The sequence below is a fragment of the Homo sapiens genome, chromosome 14, assembly GCF_000001405.40.
Source record: "Homo sapiens chromosome 14, GRCh38.p14 Primary Assembly".
NCBI lineage: Eukaryota > Metazoa > Chordata > Mammalia > Primates > Hominidae > Homo > Homo sapiens.
Window position 1 is genome coordinate 37,822,842 of NC_000014.9, and position 20,302 is coordinate 37,843,143.

The 20,302-nt window shown below is 34.9% G+C and overlaps 1 protein-coding gene and 1 pseudogene across 11 annotated transcripts in view, besides 1 other annotated feature; one reads left to right on the top strand and one right to left on the bottom strand.

Annotated features, from left to right (window-relative positions):
- Positions 1–19,876, top strand: part of TTC6 (tetratricopeptide repeat domain 6) — a 247,089-nt gene extending 227,213 nt beyond the window's left edge. For 10 of the 11 annotated variants that reach the window (NM_001310135.5, XM_017021254.2, XM_017021255.2 and 7 more), the window contains 5 exons: positions 906–1,116; positions 3,354–3,506; positions 4,355–4,525; positions 18,604–18,829; positions 19,314–19,876. In NM_001310135.5, coding sequence (NP_001297064.2) covers positions 906–1,116; positions 3,354–3,506; positions 4,355–4,525; positions 18,604–18,829; positions 19,314–19,450 — 898 coding nt within the window. In that variant the 3' untranslated portion in view covers positions 19,451–19,876. Of the gene's footprint in view, positions 1–905; positions 1,117–3,353; positions 3,507–4,354; positions 4,526–14,480; positions 14,702–18,603; positions 18,830–19,313 lie in introns of those variants that run through there. The other variant, XR_007064009.1, reaches the window with a different exon arrangement.
- On the bottom strand, positions 4,957–5,063 carry RNU6-1277P (RNA, U6 small nuclear 1277, pseudogene; annotated as a pseudogene).
- Positions 12,283–12,782: an enhancer, noted in NCBI's record as "H3K4me1 hESC enhancer chr14:38304329-38304828 (GRCh37/hg19 assembly coordinates)". NCBI's record gives its function as "activates a minimal SCP1, AML or CMV promoter by ChIP-STARR-seq in naive H9 embryonic stem cells {active_cell/tissue: H9 hESC(naive)}" and the evidence as "EXISTENCE:reporter gene assay evidence [ECO:0000049][PMID:30033119]".
- Positions 19,877–20,302: the final 426 nt, after the last annotated feature.

The window sequence follows — 20,302 nt, forward strand, 5'->3', positions numbered from 1 at the left end:
GCAGACTTTTCTGTGCCATAATTTTCCTTTCATGTGTAAAATGTAGATAATTATAACTAGCTTACAGAATTGTTGGAAGTATTAAAGGAAATACCATATGTTAAGTATTTAGCACAGTACCTGGTAAGTAAACACTGCTAGTTGCTAGTATCCTTATTCCATTCCATTTTCAAAAATCCTAGACTCTCTCCATGTTAATTGAAACTAAATATTATTATTAGATATGCATATGAAATGGAGAAGTGACTTTATATGCCCATGAACAAACATTTGATGCCTTTAGCAGCCTTAACCTCCACCACAAGAGAGTAATTAGGGAGGATAGAGAGAGTTATCATTTAGCCAAATACATTCACAAGTTGATAAATAAAATGCATTTTACTTTTTTCTCTCCCCTCCTCTCCTGGTGTCCACAGTGAAATGGCCTGCCTTTATAGGAGATCTGATGTAAGGACTCCCATGTGATGAAAATCTGGCTGTTTTCATTGTATAAGGAAATATTAAATACATATAAATAAGTTTAATTTAATTTTGAAAGTACATTTCATCAATAGTAGCATATGTTTTTCTATACTGGTAATTGATACCTGTTAAAAACAGATTTAAGAATGCCATGTGGACTTTAATAACTTGAGAAAGATCCAGAATATCATCCCATCACATTCTGCTATGAAAATGACCCTTTCTTGCCATCTTTCCTTTTACCAAAATCTTCGAAGGACCTGTCACACTTCCTTAGTCATATGGACTTATGTGCCTACCTCCTACAATGGGTAATAGAAATGGAGATTTTTTAATGAGTCAATTCAAATCTTTATGGAAAAGTCAGTTATAGGAAAACATTGTATATGTCACCAGAATGCATCAGTTCACCAGAAGGCATCAATATTTTTATTTATTTGCAGAATTAATGAGTTTGAAGAAGCTGTCAATTTCTTTACTTGGGCTCTTAAAATTAACCCATGTTTTCTGGATGCTTATGTTGGACGGGGAAATTCTTACATGGAATACGGTCATGATGAAGCCACCAAGCAAGCACAGAAAGACTTTCTGAAAGCACTGCATATTAATCCAGCATACATAAAAGCCAGAATTAGTTTTGGCTATAATTTGCAGGTAATATAGCAACATTTTGAGCATTAAAAGCATGTTTTGGGGAGAAAGAATATATTTGGCTCTTTCCTGGCAATGGGAGTATATGTTATTTCTTTGGTTATGAACATTTACCTTTTCTTTACTTTTAGGTTCCAGAGTAGCAGTGGGAGCAGGGGTTTAGTTAGTTATAGAGAGGCTGCCTGGATCTGGATCAGCCTGGGGAGCTGGTAGGCTGGTTAGATGAAAGTCTTTTGAACCTGAGCTTCCTTTATGTCTGCACCCCTCCCTACCTTCCTCCTCACTTACAAACAACTTTTAAAATTTGCCTGATGAAGTTCATCTATAAGAACCTGGGTAACATTTATTTTACTAGCTTATATACCTAGGCCCCACAGGTTTTGTCCTGTTGCATTAGTGAAAAGCTAAAGGGAAGAAAATTAGCCATTACTGGATCACAGTAGAAATTTGCAAAGTCCATTTAAAGAGAGGGATTTCCAAGGCAGCTAGAGCTGACTGCAATCCAGTGAAATGTGTTAAGATCATCATCATTCATTGCATTCAACAGACATTAACTGAGCACTAAATGTAGAACGGAAACTGCTCTAGGCCTAGGGATATAGCAATGAACAAGATTATACTTCCTTCTTCTTGCAGAGTTTACTACCCAGTGGAGAGATAGGCATCAAACAATTAATCATATGAATAATTGATTATAATCATGATAAGTGCAACAAAGGAAAAGGATGAGTTTTAGTATAACTTGTAGAAAAATAACCTAGCTTTGTTTGAGAGGTGAGAGAAAGTTTTTTGAGAAATTAACAATGTTGAGATGTGAAAGCAGGGGCCGTGGCTAGGATACAGTGTTCCGTAAAGTGGAACCAGCCCATCAGAAAGTCTTGTAAGAAAGAGACAAGAGGGCCCAAGTGAATGGAATGTTATGGGCAAAGGGAGCAGGGCATGAGATGAGGCTGGAGTTAAAGGCCTTATGGTCCAGTTAAAAATGTGAATTGCATTAATAGGAGAAGTGACATCAAATTTGCATTTTATGAAGATCTCACTGGGTGTATAGCAACCTGAAAAAGAATTGAAAAGCACAGGAGTGTAAAGAATTGAGTCAGGAAGGAGGACTGCAAAAGGAGAGTTAGGCCCATCTGAGTTCTGTCCAGGGAAAGAGCAACAGTTTGTTCAACAAATACTTACAGATTCCCTTACTATTTGCCTAGCACTAGAAATATAGAAATGAGCACAACAGATGTGGTCTGGAGCAGATGACAGAGATCTTACTGTGAGGCAGTTTGCTATTTAATATCCTAATAATCTAATCTCAATTTGCCTGATTCCTTGTTTATTAAATGAGCTTGTGTTGACAGTGTGGATTTACAAATGGTTTACCCAGAGAGAGAAGATTTGATGGTCAGGAAACAGGGTCTTGTTCCCTTAACAGTTGTATTTCTTTTTACTTTTATATGAGAGTCCCTAGGCTCAGCTTGGTTAAAGTGAGTCAGCTTCCGAGATCTGGCAAGATGGGTTTTTTTAGCCCATCAGAAAAAAAGACAGACTCCAGACTGTACTGAATTTATTAACTCACTGCCTTTCTGTGGAGGCATTTAGTTGCCAGCTGGTCTTCTCTAGGAAGCACTCTGACATCGTTCTGTTAACAATGCCCCTCTCCTGACCTTTTTCTTTCTTTTCCAGTTGGTATAAACAGAAGCTTGGTAGATTTGCATGTATTTTCCATGGAATACGTATAGTGATACTAAAACTCCAGATGCTGGCGTGATTTATCAGAATATGTTTACACCATTAGTTTATTAATTTATTATTCAATACATATTTATGTTATTATGTATATTATGTATATATTATCTATAACTGGAGATTCAGTGCGAACCAAATAAATACAATCCCTCCTTATGTGTGTGCAGCTCAATGCGCATTTTTCTGTGTTGGTAAAAACCACTGGCGTTTCACATGGTGGCTATGATTTTATGTTGTCCGGGATTGGTACAGGAGATGACTCGGAAGTTAAATTTATTTTAATTAATTAAAATTTCATCATAAATACTCAGAGGTAATTAGGCAACTGAATGCAGCCACAGTATGCATTCAGTATGCCTACTTTCTGGTTTGAAAGAACTTAGATTTAGCATGGCATAAATATACCCTTACTAAAGGTTTTATTTGATGGAGTCAGAATCATAAACGTTTGTCATGTTATGGAGTATTTCCTACTTCGTGTAATTGGAAAATTATTTTAGGCCCAAGGAAAATTCCAGAAAGCTTGGAACCACTTTACCATTGCCATAGATACTGATCCAAAGAACTACCTAGCCTATGAAGGAAGAGCTGTGGTCTGTCTTCAGATGGGTAATAATTTTGCTGCAATGCAGGATATTAATGCTGCCATGAAGGTAAAAACCATCTTAGATTATATTATTATTAGCATAAATTAACACTGTCAATGAATAGGTGCAAGTAAGAAGTTCTCTGTTAGCTTTTTAAAGTGACTTATGGAGAAAATAATGTTTTGTATTTTTTTTTAACCCAAGTGATCCCTAGGGTAAAGAGTTATGGCTTGCCAATTTTATAACTGAAATGCACTAAAACCCCAAAGTTCTGATAAATGTTGATCACTTTCAGTAAATACGCTTTATACTTTCATGGGACATCAATATTATTTTGTAATACAAAGTGAATGCATAACATAAAATAATGTTCTAGGTTTGAAGGAACTAAAGAGAGAACAATGTAAATCCCCAGAATCTTCCTGTAGTGAAATGACAAGTAAAAATCTCATGTTGAATGCAGTGACAGAAACTCTTCTTTACTTCTAGCTTTTGGGTTTTGATTCTGTAGATTTGGGCAGATGTTGTAGTGTTTGAGATGAGAAAAAGGAAAGAACTGAAAGATAATTGCTACTACATAGGACAAATAAGCCTGTTAACTATTCAATTTAATTTATTCTCTAGCTTAACAGCTAAACAGATAAGCTTTTCCACTTTGTCTATTCCTTGGAAAGGAACTGAGTGAAAAAACACTAAGATTATTTGTTTTATTGCAACCAAATCAACAAAGTGTTGACACTAAACCAACTTCATACCAACTCCTTTCTCAAAATATTTGTTCTACTGGAGTTTTACATGCACTATAAAATTACTCATTTCCCACAAGTAGATTCCCTAATGTTCATTTTGGCAGACATGACATCAGAGGTAAATACTATTCCCCAATGTTAAATAATCATAATATTATACTGCAGATCAGTACTACAGCAGAATTCTTAACAAATCGTGGGGTGATTCATGAGTTTATGGGCCACAAACAGAATGCAATGAAAGACTACCAAGATGCAATTACTCTAAACCCCAAGTACTCGCTGGCTTACTTTAATGCAGGAAATATCTACTTTCACCACAGGCAGTTTTCCCAGGTAATGTGAGTTTTACTTAACGCTTTCTTTTTGACCTGGAATGCTTTCTTTATTATATATAGCTTCAAAGTATAATTCATACAATCTCAGGCTAATAATGCATTGGCTATTAGCTCTTTTATTTAAAATGTTATCTTTCATAAGAATGTTTATAATTTATCCATTAAATATTTATGCCTCTATGGATTTATTCTCCTCATTAACACTTGTAAACATTTTTTTCTTTCATATTTTATCATAATAAATGTCTTGCTAGAATCTTATTGAGACATAATTGACATACAACAAATCGCACATATTTAAAATGTACGATTTGATGTCTTGACATATGTGTACCCCTGCAAAATCATCACTACAATAAAGGTAATAAACATATCTATCAGCACCAAAAGTTTTCTCATGCTCCTTGATATTTTATCCTTCTTTCCCTGAAAAATATGAAATGCTTCATGAATTTGCATGTCATCCTTGCACAGGGGGCTTGCCAACCCTCTGTGTGTTGTTCCAGTTTTAGTGTATATGTTGCCGAAGTGAGCATCCAGTAAACATCCTTTTGGACTTCCCCAAGTGTGAGGACTTGCCTTGTGATATCTATTGTCACTAACTTCCAGCCTTGAATCCTCTGTTCTTTCCCCCACTTAGACTTCCTTCAAGACCCTCCTTATGATTATCTAACTCACCTTAATTTATACTTTTTCCAAATTTCTGCCATGGGACCACTGGACTGGGAATAAGAAGACTTGGATTTTAGTTCTGGTTTTGTGTGACACCTTAATCTCTTTGGACTTCAATTCATAATGTCTGAAACAAAAATGTTGGGTCATTAGATGATGATATTTTCTATTTTTTGAATTTATTTCATTTGAATCATAATGCATTTACATGATTCAAACTCTTAATTTTTAAATTTTTCCTTTTTATTTATAGTCACTCTTTTTTCTGCTTCCCTTCAATTTATCTTGTTATTCTTTATCTTTTTGAGTTGGAAGCTTAATTAATTTATTTTCACCCTTTCATTTATATTGTAATAAGTTATTAAAAGTATGCCTTTTACCCAAGTACTGTTTTGGCAGCATTCCACACATTTGGCTCTGTAATGTTTGCTTGTTTAGCTCTGGTGAAATACACATAACATAAACTTTACCATCTCAACCATTTTTAAGTGTACATTTCAGTAGTGTTAAGTATATACTGAAATGGTTTTATTAATGTTTTCCCCAGATTTTCCACCTGTAATTTCTATTTCCCATTTGACTAAAGAATAAATTAACAGAGCATTTAACCAGATGGAAGGACATTTATATTTTCTACATTCTGGAATTTATTGAGTTTTAATGAAGTCTAATATAAAAACATTGTTTTGAATATGTCAGGGTCATTCCTAAGAAAGGGTATCTACTATCAGGATGTGGATTTAAGTCTACATTTAGGAAGTCTATGTTATTAATTAGTTTACATTCATACTTTTTTTTCACTTGGTTTATCTTGGACTGAGAGATTTATTCAAGTATCCTGTTATTTGAGGGTTCCTATATATTTCTCTTTGCATCTCTTGTAATGCCTGCTTTGTGAAAATTGCTGCTACATTATTTCATGTATAGATATTTATACCTAATATATATGCATTATGAATTATAGCCTTCAGCACTACAGATTTCCTCCTTTGTTTCTTTTAATACTCTGTGGAACAAATTCTCCTTTGTGTGATATGAGGATCATGACCTCTGAGACCTTCTGATTTGCTTTGCCTGGTATTCCTTTGCTTTTCCTTTTATTTTCAACTTTTAAAATCCTTTGTTTTTGGTATGTCTCTTTTATACTGTATAGAATCGGATTTTACTTTGAGAGCTAATTTGAAAATATTTTTCTTTTAATAGGCAAGTTAAGCCCATTTAATTTTGGCATGATCAATACATTTGATCTTAGTTCTGTTATTTTATGTAATGCAAGTGTGTTTATGTTAAAGGTATTTTGAAAGTATTTAACTCCCTGGTTTTTTATTTTTTGGCTTTTTTTCAGTTTTTGTAATATTTAGGAAGGTTTATAGTTTTGTTGTAGTGATTATCTTTATAAAAATAACATTAATACTCTTAGTTTAGTTTCTCTACTATGAACAACAATAAAATTACCCTGTAAACTCCTCCTCTCTCTCATTCATTATTCAATTTTAGTAATTTTTTAAAAAAAGTTTATCCTCATATTCTTAAATATGCTTGAGCTTATTATGTCAGCTTGTCACATAAACTTGGTTTCCACAGTCTCTTGGGTATAAAAATTGGTATGAATTAAGGTGAGTTAGATAATCACATCATAGGGATGGTCTTGAAGGAAGTCTAAGTAGGGGAAAGAACAGAGGATTCCAGGCTAGAAGCTGGTGACAATAGATATTGCAAGGCAAGTGCTGACACTTGGGGAAATCCAAAAGAATAGTTACTGTGGGTTCACTTGGGCAACACATAAATTAATTCTCCCATTTTGTTGTAAGTTTTATTATTTCTACACTGCCTGACCAAGATTTAATATTTATGTATTATTTTGTTACCCTTATTGCACATTTTAGTCTTAGTTCTTCAGTTAAATATATTCAGTTCTCATCACCAGACTATTTGCCAAACTCCCCTTCCCCACAATAATTTCTTGGTTGTCTGAAATTAGTCCTCTGGTAGAGTTCTAAGGAGGGGCTCCTGAGAACAATATTCCTTGGAGTTTTGCATGTTGATAGCTGTTTGCCTGTAGCCTATTTTATACCTTAAGACAGCATGGCTCCTTGACTCATTTTTCTTTCCTTGAGTGTCTTGTAAGTGCTGCTTTCTTTTCTGGTGGTATATGTTGGTGTCAAGAAGCATGATGCAAAACGGATTTTCTTTTTCTTAAAAGCAACTTGCTCTTTTTTGTCAAGATAACCACATTTTTTTTTAAGGGAAAAGTTTTACCAAGGTATTCCTTAGAGTTGACCACTGCAGGTTAAATTTATCAAGTACACAGTATATGTTTTCAGTACATAGATTTCAGATAAGTGTTGTTGAATTCAGTTAACATTTTTTTTTCTGTTTCATTGTTCTGATTTTCTTCACTGGGGATACCAATTATATAGATGTTGTATATTCCTTAATTTTGATTTATTCTTAATTTTTTTATTTCTTAATGTCTGTTTCATTTTCTTTGTCTTTCTTTTGTATTTTTCCTAAATCTTTATACTGTTTCCTGAGATACCTGTTATCCCTGTGGACCTCATAAGTTAGATTTCCTTTTTATTTTATTTTTCTAGTTCTATCCTATTTCCATGCCATTTTTTCCTGGTCACCTCTTTTCTGGGTTCCTGTATTTCTGATTCATTTTTTCTTGATGGCAATTGCTTCCTTAAAAATTTTTTTCTAAAATAGATTTTTTTAAATGAATTTTTTTCAAAATCATTTTATTTCAAAATGTTATATTTTTTATTGATACATACTAATTGTACATATTTATGGGGCACATGATATTTTGATATGTGCATACAATGTGTAATGATGAAATCAAAGTAATTGGAATATGCATCACCTCAAACATTTATCGTTTCTTTATGATGAGAATATTTCAAATCGTCTAGCCATTTTGAAATATACAATAAGTTATAACTATAGTCACTCTGCTGTGCTATCAAATACTAGAACTTATTTCTTCCATATAACTGTATTTTTGTTCCCATTAGCCAACCTGTCTTCATCCCCTCGCCCACCCCTCCCAGCCAATTGTAACCATCATTCTACTCTCTCTGTTTATGAGACAAAGTTGTTTTTTTTAAGCCTCCAAATATGAGCAAGAACATGTGTTGTCTTTCTGTACCTGGCTTATTTCACTTAACATAATGTCCTCTATGCTCACCCATGTTGCTGCAAATAATAGGATTTTATTCTTTTTAATGACACAATAGTATTCCATTGCATATATGCAACACATTTTCTTTATCTATTCACCTGCTGATGGACACTTAGGGTGATTCCATATCTTGGCTATTGTGAATAGTTCTGGGCAAACCTGGGAGTGCAAATATTTCTTCAATATACTGATTTCCTTTGTTATGGATATATACCCAGCAATGGAATTGCTGGATCATATGATAGTTCTATTGTTTTGAGGAACCTTCATACAGTTTTCCATAGTAGCTCTACTAATTTACATTCTCACCGTTAGTGTACTAAAGCTCCGATTCTCTGTATTCTTGCCAGACGTTTTTTTTGTGTGTGTTTTTCTTTGTTTGCAATAGCCATTTTTTTTTTCTGGAACAATAGCCATTTTAACTGAGGTGAGATAATACCTTATTGTGGTTTTGATTTGTACTTCTCTGATGGTTAGTGATGTTCAACATTTTTTTATAGATCTGTTGGCCGTCTGTTATGTCTTTTCAGATCATTGCCCACTTTTTAATGGGAATGAGATCTTTTTTGTTGCTGTTGTTTGAGTTCTTTATATATTCTGGTTATTAATTCCTCATTGGATGAATAATTTGCAAATACTTTATCCTATTCTGTAGGTTTTCTCTACACCCTGTTGATTATTGCCATTCCTATGCAGAAGCTTTTTCAGCTTGATATAAACCCACTTGTCTGTTTTTGCTTTTGTTGCCTGTGCTTTTGTGGTTTTAACTCTCGAAAAATCTGTGCCATATAAATCAATGTCTTGAACCATCTCCACAATGTTTTCTTCTAGTAGTTTTATAATTTCAGGTTTTACAGTTAAGTCTAATCCATTTTGATTTGATTTTTGTACATAAGGAGAGACAGGGGTCTAGTTTCTTTCTTCTGCAAATGGATACCAAGTTTTCTCAGTTTTGTTTATTTGGGTCTTTTCTCTCATTTTTTAGTTAGTCTAGCTATCAGTTTTGTTTATCTTTACAAAAATATAACTTCATTTTATTGATGTTTTGTATTTTTTAAGTCTTTATTTCTGCTCTGATATTTATTATTTTCTTTTTCTTTCTCTCTTTTTTTTTTTTTTTTTTTTTTTTACTAATTTTGGGCTTGGCTAGTTCTTGCTTTTCTAGTTTTATGAGGTGCATTATTACATTGTTTATTTGAAATCATTCTACTTTTTTGATGTAGGCATTCAACTCTATAAATGTCCCTCTTAGGTTTGCTGCATGTCATAGGTTTTGGTATGTTGTGTTTCCATTTTCATTTGTTTCAAGAATTGTTTTTATTTCCTTCTGAATTTCTTTATTGACCCAATGGTTGTTCAGGAGCATATTATTTAATTTTCATTTGCTTATTTAATTTCCAAAGCTTCTCTTGTTGTTGATGTTTTATTCCCTTGTGGTCTGAGAAGATACTTGATATGATTTTGATTTTTATTATTTGTTGAGACTTGTTTTGTGTTTTAATATGTGGCCTATCCTGGAGAATATTCCATGTACTGATAAGAATGGGTATTCTGGCCACGCGCGGTGGCTTATGCCTATAATCCCAGCACTTTGGGAGGCCAAGGTGGGCAGATCACGAGGTCAAGAGATCAAGATCATCCTGGCCAATATGGTGAAACCCTGCCTCTACTAAAAATACAAAAATTAGCTGTGTGTGGTGGTGCATACCTGTAGTCCCAGCTACTCAGGAGGCTGAGGCAGGAGAATCACTTGAACCTGGGAGGCGGAGGTTGCAGTGAGCTGAGATTGTGTCACTGCACTCTGGCCTGGTGATAGAGTGAGACTCCATCAAAAAAAAAAAAAAAAGAATGAGTATTCTGCAGCTGTTGGATGAAATGTACTGTAAATGTCTGCAAGATTCATTTGGTCTGTAGTGCAGTTTAAATCTGCTGTCTCTTTGTTGATTTTCTGTCTAGATAATCTGTCCAATGCTGAGTGAGGTGTTGAAGTCCCCAAATATTGTTTTATTATTAATGAGTCTAGCTCTCTCTCTTTACCTATAATAATTGCTTTATATATCTGGGTGTTCAAGTGTTTGATGCATATATATTTACAATTGTTATATTTCTTGCTTAACTGATCTCTTTATCATTATATAATGACATTGTTAGTCTCTTCTTATGTTTTTTGACTTGAAGTCTGTTTTGTTTGATATAACTCCTTGTTTTGGGTTCTGTTTTGTAGGAAATATCTTTTTACATCTCTTAACTCTCAGTCATGTGTGTCCTTAATGGGTAAAATGTGTTTCTTGTAGCCAGCATATAGTTGGGTCTTGTTTTATTATCCATTCAGTCAGTCTATATCTTTTAATTGGGAAATTTAAACTGGTTACATTCTGAGTTCTTTCGATAGGTAAGGACTTATTTCTGTCATTTTGTTGTTTTCTTATTGTTTTCTATATTTGTTCCTTTTTTTCTTTCTTATTGCTTATCTTTGATAATAAAATTTGGCAGCTTTCTATAATGATACCATTTGATTCCTTTCACCTTCTCCTTTGTGTGTCTGTTGTTTCAGTAAGTTTTATATTTTAGTGTATTTTTTATGATGGTGGATATTGTCTTTTGGCTGCCAGATGTAAAAATCTCTTAAGCAGTTCATGTAGGACTGGTCTCATGGTGATGTATTTCCTCAGTCTTTGTTTGTCTGGGAAAGACTATTTCTCCATCATTTTTGAACAATAACTTTGATGGGTATAGTATTCTTGCCTAACAGTTCTTCCCCCCAACCCCTCAGCACTTTGAATATATCATCTAATTCTCTCCTGGTTTATAGGATTTCTGTGGAGAAATCAGCTGTTAGTCTGACAGAAATTCCTTTATATGTGACTTGATACTTTTGGTGTTTTTAAAACTCTCTCTTTGTCTTAGACTTTTGACAGTTTGATGATAATGTGCCTTGGAGAGGGCCTTTTTGGGTTGAATCTATCTGGGGACATTTGAGCTTCCTGTATCTATATGTATATCTCTTCCAATATTTGGGAACTTTTCAGTTATTATTTTACTGAATAGGTTTTCTATGACTTTTTCTTTTCTTTTGAACTCCCAAAATTGAATATTTGTTCACTTGATGGTATCCTATATATGATGTAAGCTTTCTTCATTTGTTTTTATTCTTTTTATTATTATTGTCTGACTATTTCATTTCTAAAGACCTGTCTTCAAGTTTAGGAATTATTTCTCCTATTTTACTTAGTCTATTGTTGAATGTCTTGATTGTATTTTTTATTGCATTCATTGAATTCTTCAGTTCCAGGATTTCTCTTTGATTAATTTCTTATGATATCTATCTTTGTTCGATTTCTCATCTAAATCATGAAGTTTTTTTTATTTCTTTGTATTGTTTATCTGTGTTCTTTTGTTCTAAATTTCTTTAAGGTCAATATTTTGAATTCTTTTTCAAACATTTCACAAAATTTCTTTTCTTTGGGGTCTGCTACTGTAGATTTATTGCACTCCTTTTGAGGTGTATTTCTTTGCTTTTTCATGTTTCTTGTGTCCTTACATTGATATCTGCTCATCTGGTGTAACCATCACTTCTTCCAATTTTATTAAGTAGCTTCCATAGGGAAAGACTTTTTTCTGTAGATATATCTATAAAGTGAGTTGAATAGGGTACTTTGGCTTTGGTTCTGGGTGGGCACCAGAGAGTATTATAGTCTCCATATGATTACTTCATCTGTAATCAACATCAGTGGTGTCTGTGAGTTCCTTGGTGGCTTAGGCTGTGGTTATTTGTGGACACTGTGGTGAAGCTTTGCTGGAAATGGTGATGCCAGGCAGTCCAGTCCTCAGGCCCTGAGGTAGCACATGGGGGCCATTGCAGGCAGTGGTTTTTCCTGGGCGGCCAGTCTTTGCACTCCTGGCAGGGCACATAGGCACTGGCAGTGAGGGCGGTAGGCTGGGAAGGTCAATCTTTAGACCACTGGGCTGGGTGTGTAAGCACCAGTGGTGTCCATGGCAGGGTGAGTGTGGTGTGAAATGTTACAATTTTACTTTTCATTGTAGAAATACTATTTTTTCCTGGTGATTTTTTTAATTGTCTTTGAGACTTTGAGGGTAAGAGGTTTTTTTTGTGTGTGTGTCTTTAAGATGAGAGATACCAATTTATGCTCCAATGTTAATAAGAATAAACTAGTAAATTGTTGGTAAATGAGAGTGTCAGGGATAATTAGGATCAAAATCTTTGAGAATTTGATGAAGTTAAGAGTTTGGAAGTTGCAGATGTGGCCCTTGATGGGAGCAGAACACACTACCCATTATGTCATTAGGGAAGGCAGAGGGTTTGGGCACAGTTGAATGTAGATTTTGATAGTATGTAATCCTATCTATTGATTATATCTTCTCCATGGATGTAAGTATTAGTCACCAGTTAACAGTGGGAGTGAACGGTGAAGAAAGAAAGACAAGATGGCTAGAAGTTTTAAAGAGAAGAGAGAAAATGTTAAATAATTGTGTTAGAAAGTGGTAAGATCAACATATTAGAGTGTAACAACATTAAGTCCTCATTTGAGGTTTGTAGTTTTAAATTTCAAAATGAGATCTTGAGTCTTTCTTGCTTTGTATATAATTCTCTCTATACGGATTCAATACTGCTTTATGTCATGCAGTTGTTTCTGTGTTGATCTCTATCTCCTTACTCTGTAAGCTGTTAAGGGGCAGGAATCACACCCTGCCCTCTTATCTCTACATTTCTCTGCTCAGAAAGTCCATTTATTCTCATGACTTACACTACTTGAAACCCTCCTTCTTTCTTCTGAGCTCCTAACCCATATTTAAGAGTTGCTAAAACTGGATATTTTACAAGTTCATTGAAGCCCATTCTGAATTGATCTCTCCATCCATTATCCTCAGCCGAGCTTTCTTCATGTAAATCCTCTCTCAATTCGAGTTGTCATCTTCCATAAAGTCACTTGAATAGAAATGTCAGAGTCAACCATAACTTTCTCTTTCTTACATCCTTAAGCTAATGTCATCTAATCCTGTCAGTTTTACATCTATCCTGTCAGTAAAGACAATTGCTCAAAGATCAATTGTCTCTAACTTAACCAAACTCAGATCACTCTCTGGCTGGATCCTAGAAATGTTTATGTGCATTGTAGTTAGTTAATGTGATCAAGGCAAATAAAATTCCCAGGGCAATTTTCTATTTCCATAGATGTTTAAGATCTGCATGAAAGGGAGATCTTCACCTTTTTCACTCATTTGTCTTTGATTACTATATGGGCATCATGTAGAAAAGTATTTGGTTAGATCTAAAGTGTAGTTTAAATTTTTTTTTTAAGTATAACTCTATTCCTTCCAAAGTGTAGACAAATTATCTGGGCATATATTTCATCTAAAATATGTCCCATCCTTTGACTTGATATACTGTATGCCTGAGCTTTACAGTGCACACTCCCTCCAGAGACTAGCAGGCTTTGGGAACAGGTGTTCAGCTATTCTAGCATGCTTTGAGCCTCCTTCGTAGAGAAAATGGCTTCTATTCCCTGTCACCCTCTACCCTCATCCCCTTATTTCTTACTATAATGGAGGTAAGACTTAGGCTAGGAGGAAGGGTCCCTCATCTGATCTAATAAACTCTAGAGGGTTAAAAAATGTATGTAATCTGGCTTCTTTTATCTTTAGTGACTTAATGATAACCACTTAATGTGATTTAATGATCTTAAACCACAGTTGGATGTGCTACTTGCATACATTATGAACTACAGGTGACATTAAAAAATAACTGGATCTGCTTTTTAATTAATTACAACATAAGGGCATTAGACCAATTATTAAAAAATCAAGACCATCTGTTGTGGTAGATACCTTTAGCCTCTAACTGCTTCTTAGTTAATATTCTGATACTTCAAGTAACCTCATTAAATTTATAGGTTTCATTTTCTAAGTAATATATTTGGAAGCTATAGTAGAAAGTTACACAGTTCAAAGTTCTTTTCTCTTACCTGAGAAAAAGAATTTGCTTTTACATGATTGAAGGTATGCCTTGTGATGTATAATTGTGTCTTCTTTATTGATAATTTATTGGTGAATTAAAATGAAGTCTAAATTACTTTAGGAAGAAAGTCTTGGCCTGGCTTGGAGTCTTTCCCTTGACTCATTTCTGAGAACTGGGGGTGCAACCTTCTCTTCAGGAGTGAATCCTCTTCAAACTCTTCACAGAAGGATGTCAATTCTGTCCCCCCTCCCCCCAACCTGTCCCAGGGATGAGATGGATTTTACATCTTGAACTAATTACCTAATTAAGAGGAAGCAAAGTTCATGGAGTATTGCCTAAAGGTGATGTTCCCTCTCCATGTATAGACACTGGGAAAAACATGATATATAAGTAATAATTGATTGAGTCCTTACTATTTTCTGCATATTGTTCTCAGTATGTTACATATTAGTTCACTTAACCCTCACATCAACACTGGAAGTGGAGTTTTATTTGTTACCTTTGTTTTATAGATGAGGAAACTGATGCAAATAGAGTTTTAGTAACTCACCCAAAGAAGAGGCAGGATGTAAACCCAGCAATCTGACTCTATGGTCTGGGCTCCCAGCCACTGTGCAATCAGTGTTCCATATCACCCATGATGGAAGTGAATAGAGGACAGATCTTCGGGAAACATAGAGGAAAATAGTTCAGTGACAGAGAGAATTTTAAGAAGGAAGGAGAGACCAAATGTGTCCATGCCACAGAAATGTCATGGAAGACAAGAACTAGAATGTGTTCATTAGGCTTGAGGACATCTGCAACTTTAGCAACAACAGAATTCATGGAATAGGGGGAAATAGAAGCCAGATTGTGTTTGGTTGGGAAAAAGTTGAGTGTTAAGTAATTGGCGAGTGGCAAGCTGTACTGTGAAAAGTGACTCTCTCTTTAAGGTAGGTTTTAAAGTAGGAGCCAGGTTTTCATCCATCAGGGAGTTAGAGATTTCTAAATTGATTAGCAGGATGTCTAATCAGCATCTCAACTATTTGTGGTGAAAGGCCAGTTAAAAAAATTCTAGTATATTGTAAATAAATATACATTGCTAAAACCCAATAAAAACAAATTGCTAGAAATGTGATCAAGTGCTGGGATGTCATAGCCATGTCAAAATGCTATAAAAGTTACTTATTGTTTATTCTCAATTTTGGTACTTGCAGAGCTCTAGCAAATGGTTCTTGGACCAGTACTCCAATACTGTTTTGCAGACTAACTTGAGGGTCCCTTTCAGATCGAAGATGAGTTGTGAATAATCTTGAGTCTTTGGTCTTTTCAACAAGCTGATATTTCCTCTCTCTTTTTTATACCTTTTTATGGTGTAACTGAGTTTTTATCTCTCTTTGTATGTCTTAGAACCTTATTTTGAAAATTCCCTTGTGGTTGAGCTCTTACTTTGTTTTTGTACACAAAGTGTTACTTTTCTTTCTTCTTTTTTTTCTTGTTTACTTTTTTTAAAAAGTATACTTTAAGTTCTGGTGTACATGTGCACAACGTGCAGGTTTGTTACATAGGTGTAAATGTGCCATGTGGGTTTGCTACACCCATCGACGCATCATTTACATATCCCTCCCCCACCCACTGACAGGCCCTGGTGTGTGATGTTCCCCTCCCTGTGTCCATGTATTCTCATTGTTCAACGCCCACTTATGAGTGAGAACATGCGGTGTTTGGTTTTCTCTTCTTGTGTTACTTTGCTGAGAATGATGGTTTCCAGCTTCATCCATGTCCCTGCAAAGGACATGAACCCATCCTTTTTCATGGCTGCATAGTATTCCATGGTGTATATGTGCCACATTTGCTTTATCCAATCTATTATTGTTGGGGATTTGGGTTGGTCTTTGCTATTGTGAACAGTGCTGCAATAAACATACGTGTGCATGTGTCTTTATAGTAGAATGATTTATAATCCTTTGGGTATATACCCAGTAATGGGATTGCTGGGTCAAATGGTATTTCTGGTTCCAGATCCTTGAGGAATCACCCACTGTCTTCCACAATGGTTGAACTAATTTACACTCCCACCAACAGTGTAAAAGCATTCCTGTTTCTCCACATCCTCTCCAGCATCTGTTGTTTTCTGACTTTTTAATGATCATCATTCTAACTGACATGAGATGGTATCTCATTGTGGTTTTGATTTGCGTTTCTCTAAAGACCAGTGATGATGAGCATTTTTTCATAAGTTTGTTGGCTGCATAAATGTCTTCTTTTGAGAAGTGTCTGTTCATATCCTTCACCCATTTTTTGATGGGGTTGTTTGTTTTTTTCTTGTAAATGTGTTTAAGTTCTTTGTAGATTCTGGATATTAGCCGTTTTGTCAGATGGATAGATTGCAAAAATTTTCTCCCATTCTGTAGGTTGCCTGTTCACTCTGATGATAGTTTCTTTTGCTGTGAAGACACTCTTTAGTTTAATTAGATCTCGTTTATCTATTTTGGCTTTTGTTCCCATTGCTTTTGGTGTTTTAGTCATGAAGTCTTTGCCCATGCCTATGTCCTGTATGGTATCGCCTAGGTTTTCTTCTAGAGTTTTTATGGTTTTAGGTGTAACATTTAAGTCTTTAATCCATCTTGAGTTAATTTTTGTATAAGGTGGAAGGAAGGGATCTAGTCTCAGCTTTCTGCATATGGCTAGCCGGTTTTCCCAGCACCATTTATTAAATAGGGAATCCTTTCCCCATTTCTTGTTTTTGTCAGGTTTGTCAAAGATCAGATGATTGTACATGTGTGGTGTTATTTCTGAGGCCTCTGTTCTGTTCCATTGGTGTATATATCTGTTTTGGTACCAGTACCATGCCTGGTTACTGTAGCCTTGTAGTATAGTTTGAAGTCAGGTAGCGTGATGCCTCCAGCTAGCCAGACTAATAAACAAGAAAAGAGAGAAGAATCAAATAGACACAATAAAAAATGATAAAGGGGATAACACCACCAATCCCACAGAAATACAAACTACCATCAGTAAATACTATAAACACCTCTATGCAAATAAACTAGAAAATCTAGAAGAAATGGATAAATTCCTGGACACATACACCCTCCCAAGACTAAACCAGGATGAAGTTGAATCTCTGAATAGACCAATAACAAGTGCTGAAATTGAGGCAGTAATTAATAGCCTACCAACCAAAAAAAATCCAGGACCAGATGGATTCACAGCCGAATTCTGCCAGAGGTGCAAAGAGGAGCTGGTACCATTCCTTCTGAAACTATTCCACTCAATAGAAAGAGAGGGAATCCTCCCTAACTCATTTTATGAGGCCAGCATCATCCTGATGTCAAAACCTGGCAGAGACACAACAAAACAAAAAAAAAAGAAATTTTTAGGCCAATATCCCTGATGAACATAGATGCGACAATCCTCAATAAAATACTGGCAAACTGAATCCAGTACATCAAAAAACTTATCCACACATGATCAAGTTGGCTTCATTCCTGGGATGCAAGGCTGGTTCAACATATGCAAATCAATAAACGTAATCCATCACCTAAACAGAACCAATGACAAAAACCAAAGTGTTACTTTTCTAATTTGTATTTTATCCTGTTGTTGTGGCCTTCTTTTCTATTTTATGCTTTAACATTTTTTAGCTCTATACAGGGATCTGGGATTTGGGGTAAGAGGCAGTGGGAGGATTTTTTTTTTTTTTTTTGAGATGGAGTCTTGCTCTGTCACCCAGGCTGGAGTGCATTGGTGTGACCTCCACTCAGTGCAACTTCTGCCTCCCAGGTTCAAGCAGTTCTCCTGCCTCAGCCTCCTGAGTAGCTGGGATTACAGGTGCCTGCCACCATGCCCAGCTAATTTTTGTATTTTTAGTAGAGATGGGGTTTCCCCATGTTGGCTAGGCTGGTCTCGAACTCCTGACCTCAGGTGATCCACCCGTCTTGGCCTCCCAAAGTGCTGGGATTACAGACGTGAGCCACTGCACCTGGCCAGTGGGAGCATTTTAACCCAGCCAACAGGAGTATTATATCGTTGACATTGTCTAGAATTGCTGACACATGGTAATAACAAAAAGCAGGTCAACTTTTGGTTGGGTTTAGCTTTTTACATTCTCTGCAGACAATGCACCTCTGTACCTGGGATGAAATGCTTCTGTTGACCTCTTGGTATGCCACTGGCCTTAATTTAAAATTAAGAGTAAAAGTGCTTCAAATTTCTGTATAGTAAGTTGCCAATTAAAATATATCATTATCTTCATATTTTGTAGGCCAGTGACTACTTCTCAAAAGCTTTAAAATTTGATCCAGAAAATGAATATGTTCTCATGAATCGAGCTATTACAAATACAATATTAAAGAAATATGAAGAAGCAAAAGAAGATTTTGCAAATGTAATTGAAAGCTGTCCCTTTTGGGCTGCAGTATATTTTAATAGAGCACATTTCTACTACTGCTTAAAGCAATATGAACTAGCTGAGGAAGACCTTAATAAAGGTACACTTTTGGTAATTATTCTGGTAAGATTACAGTGGTTGAAGTGATTATTTTTAGGCTACAAAAGAAGAAAATCATTAGGTCTATTTATTTAGATAAACTTACATAAGAATTAGTGTTTTTAGATATCATGTCCTTAATATAATCGATATAGGTTCCTTTATGTAATGTCTTAACTTAAAGCTGTGGTAAACTGAGATATAGGGAATTATTACAAAACTATACACAAACAATGCCAACCTTTCAAAGAAAGACATTGTACTGTGTTTCCCCAAGTTAGTTTGCTTAGAAAGATTCAATATTTTTAATTTAACTAAATAGTTCTGTTTGAAGAAAAGTGTTTTCAAATTAAAAGTATTAAAGTTCTTGATTTCATCCATTGAGTTAATTTTTTTAAAAGTTCTTATCCAATTTTTTTTTGTAAAAAAAGAGACTATTTTTTGAGTGCCAACTTAAATATATCTTGATTTTTTTTCTTTTGCAGCCCTGTCTTTGAAGCCTAATGATGCTCTAGTATATAATTTTAGAGCAAAAGTTCGTGGTAAAATAGGTCTGATTGAGGAAGCTATGGCTGACTATAACCAAGCACTTGATCTTGAAGACTATGCCTCAGTTATATGATTACATAGACTGTGGTTGCTATAGTAGTTTACACAGCTGTTCTCTCTGAAACGGAAACATATTTGTTGTCTAAAAGGTTCTACCATTTTCATTATTGTATTCGTTATGCTTAGTCTTCCATATAACCTTCTATGCATTTTAATAAAATGTTTGTTATACATTAATTATAAAACATATATCATTTGCTGCATATTTGGAATACCTTGAGAACTGAATTTTTCCAAGGTTGCAGAATCTCAAGGAAAATGTTTCTTAAGGAATTAAATAGGAATGTCTCTTAACATTTAAAATATTTTCTTTAATTCTTTTTGAAATAATACTATACATTGTAGAAAAAGTGTCACTGACCTTTTCATCAATCCTTGCTGACAATGTATTAAACAGTATACAGATTAAAAAATAAACCGATGACTATAAAAAACTGAACTCAAGTACAACCCTTCTCTTTTCCTTTAAACAATATGTATACTGGTCAATATTCTTCCTGATACCTATATTCTTCCAACAGACAAACGTGTTTCTCTTTTACATGTGGCCTGCCTTCTAGGACAGTACCTATAAAGATTTTGGACATCATGTTTCCTTGAGATAGTTTCCTCTGCCTCTTTAATGCAGCTATCATAAATACATGTAAAATTTGTATATATTTATAATTCATGCATTGCAGGAGTTGATGAGTGAAAATAAAACAACTAAAAATTATTTATAGAGTGTCTCTGAGGAATCTTTGAATGAACCAGAGAACTCTTTCCCTTTGCCCCACTGATAACAGCAAGGCTTCCTTCTTCCTTTTTTTTTTTTTTTTTTGGAGACAGAGTCTCACTCTGGCCCAGACTGGAGTGCAGTGGTGCT